The sequence below is a fragment of the Homo sapiens genome, chromosome 13 (genome assembly GCF_000001405.40).
Source record: "Homo sapiens chromosome 13, GRCh38.p14 Primary Assembly".
Lineage (NCBI taxonomy): Eukaryota > Metazoa > Chordata > Mammalia > Primates > Hominidae > Homo > Homo sapiens.
Window position 1 is genome coordinate 72,610,314 of NC_000013.11, and position 2,544 is coordinate 72,612,857.

The 2,544-nt window shown below is 46.2% G+C and overlaps 1 annotated feature.

Moving 5' to 3' along the window:
* Positions 251-822: an enhancer, noted in NCBI's record as "H3K27ac-H3K4me1 hESC enhancer chr13:73184702-73185273 (GRCh37/hg19 assembly coordinates)". NCBI's record gives its function as "activates a minimal SCP1, AML or CMV promoter by ChIP-STARR-seq in naive H9 embryonic stem cells {active_cell/tissue: H9 hESC(naive)}" and the evidence as "EXISTENCE:reporter gene assay evidence [ECO:0000049][PMID:30033119]".

Here is a 2,544-nt window from a genome sequence, read left to right on the forward strand (position 1 = left end):
AAGACGGGTGATTTCTGCATTTCCATCTGAGGTACCGGGTTCATCTCACTACAGAGTGCCAGACAGTGGGCGCAGGTCAGTGGGTGCAGCGCACCAAGCGCCAGCCGAAGCAGGGCGAGGCATTGCCTCACTCGGGAAGCGCAAGGGGTCAGGGAGTTCCCTTTCCTAGTCAAAGAAAGGGGTGACAGACGGCACCTGGAAAATCGGGTCACTCCCACCCGAACACTGCGCTTTTCCGATGGGCTTAAAAAACGGCACACTACGAGATTATATCCCGTACCTGGCTCGGAGGGTCCTACGCCCACGGAGTCTCGCTGATTGCTAGCACAGCAGTCTGAGATCAAACTGCAAGGCAGCAGCGGCAGCGAGGCTGGGGGAGGGGCGCCCGCCATTGCCCAGGCTTGCCTAGGTAAACAAAGCAGCCAGGAAGCTCGAACTGGGTGAAGCCCACCACATCTCAAGGAGGCCTGCCTGCCTCTGTAGGCTCCACCTCTGGGGGCAGGGCACAGACAAACAAAAAGACAGCAGTAACCTCTGCAGACTTAAATGTCCCTGTCTGACAGCTTTGAAGAGAGCAGTGGTTCTCCCAGTACGCAGCTGGAGATCTGAGAACGGGCAGACTGCCTCCTCAAGTGGGTCCCTGACCCCTGACCCCCGAGCAGCCTAACTGGGAGGCACCCCCCAGCAGGGGCAGACTGACACCTCACATGGCTGGGTACTCCAACAGACCTGCAGCTGAGGGTCCTGTCTGTTAGAAGGAAAACTAACAAACAGAAAGGACATCCACACCAAAAACCCATCTGTACATCACCATGATCAAAGACCAAAAGTAGATAAAACCACAAAGATGGGGAAAAAAACAGCAGAAAAACTGGAAACTCTAAAAAGCAGAGCGCCTCTCCTCCTCCAAAGGAACGCAGTTCCTCACCAGCAACGGAACAAAGCTGGACGGAGAATGACTTTGACGAGCTGAGAGAAGAAGGCTTCAGACGATCAAATTACTCCGAGCCACAGGAGGACATTCAAACCAAAGGCAAAGAAGTTGAAAACTTCGAAAAAAATTTAGAAAAATGTAGAACTAGAATAACCAATATAGAGAAGAGCTTAAAGGAGCTGATGGAGCTGAAAACCAAGGCTCGAGAACTACGTGAAGAATGCAAAAGCCTCAGGAGCCGATGTGATCAACTGGAAGAAAGGGTATCAGCGATGGAAGATGAAATGAATGAAATGAAGTGAGAAGGGAAGTTTAGAGAAAAAAGAATAAAAAGAAATGAGCAAAGCCTCCAAGAAATATGGGACTATGTGAAAAGACCAAATCTACGTCTGATTGGTGTACCTGAAAGGGACGGGGAGAATGGAACCAAGTTGGAAAACACTCTGCAGTAGATTATCCAGGAGAACTTCCCCAGTCTAGCAAGGCAGGCCAACATTCACATTCAGGAAATACAGAGAATGCCACAGAGATACTCCTCGAGAAGAGCAACACCAAGACACATAATTGTCAGATTCACCAAAGTTGAAATGAAGGAAAAAATGTTAAGGGCAGCCAGAGAGAAAGGTCGGGTTACCCTCAAAGGGAAGCCTATCAGACTAACAGCGGATCTCTCGGCAGAAACTCTACAAGCCAGAAGAGGGTCGGGGCCAATATTCAACATTCTTAAAAAACAGAATTTTCAACCCAGAATTTCATATCCAGCCAAACTAAGCTTTGTAAGCAAAGGAGAAATAAAATCCTTTACAGACAAGCAAATCCTGAGAGATTTTCTCACCACCAGGCCTGCCCTAAAAGAGCTCCTGAAGGAAGCACTAAACATGGAAAGGAAAAACCGATACCAGCTGCTGCAAAATCATGCCAAAATGTAAAGACCATTGAGACTAGGAAGAAACTGCATCAACTAATGAGCAAAATAACCAGCTAACGTCATAATGACAGGATCAAATTCACACATAACAATATTAACTTTAAATGTAAATGGACTAAATGCTCCAATTAAAAGACACAGACTGGCAAATTGGATAAAGAGTCAAGACCCATCAGTGTGATGTATTCAGGAAACCCATCTCACGTGCAGAGACACACATAGACTCAAAATAAAAGGATGGAGGAAGATCTACCAAGCAAATGGAAAACAAAAAAAGGCAGGGGTTGCACTCCTAGTCTCTGATAAAACAGACTTTAAACCAACAAAGATCAAAAGAGACAAAGAAGGCCATTACATAATGGTAAAGGGATCAATTCAACAAGAAGAGCTAACTATCCTAAATATATATGCACCCAATACAGGAGCACCAAGATTCATAAAGCAAGTCCTGAGTGACCTACAAAGAGACTTAGACTCCCACACATTAATAATGGGAGACTTTAACACCCCACTGTCAACATTAGACAGATCAACGAGACAGAAAGTCAACAAGGATACCCAGGAATTGAACTCAGCTCTGCACCAAGCAGACCTAACAGACATCTACAGAACTCTCTACCCCAAATCAACAGAATATACATTTTTTTCAGCACCACAGCACACCTATTCCAAAACTGACCAC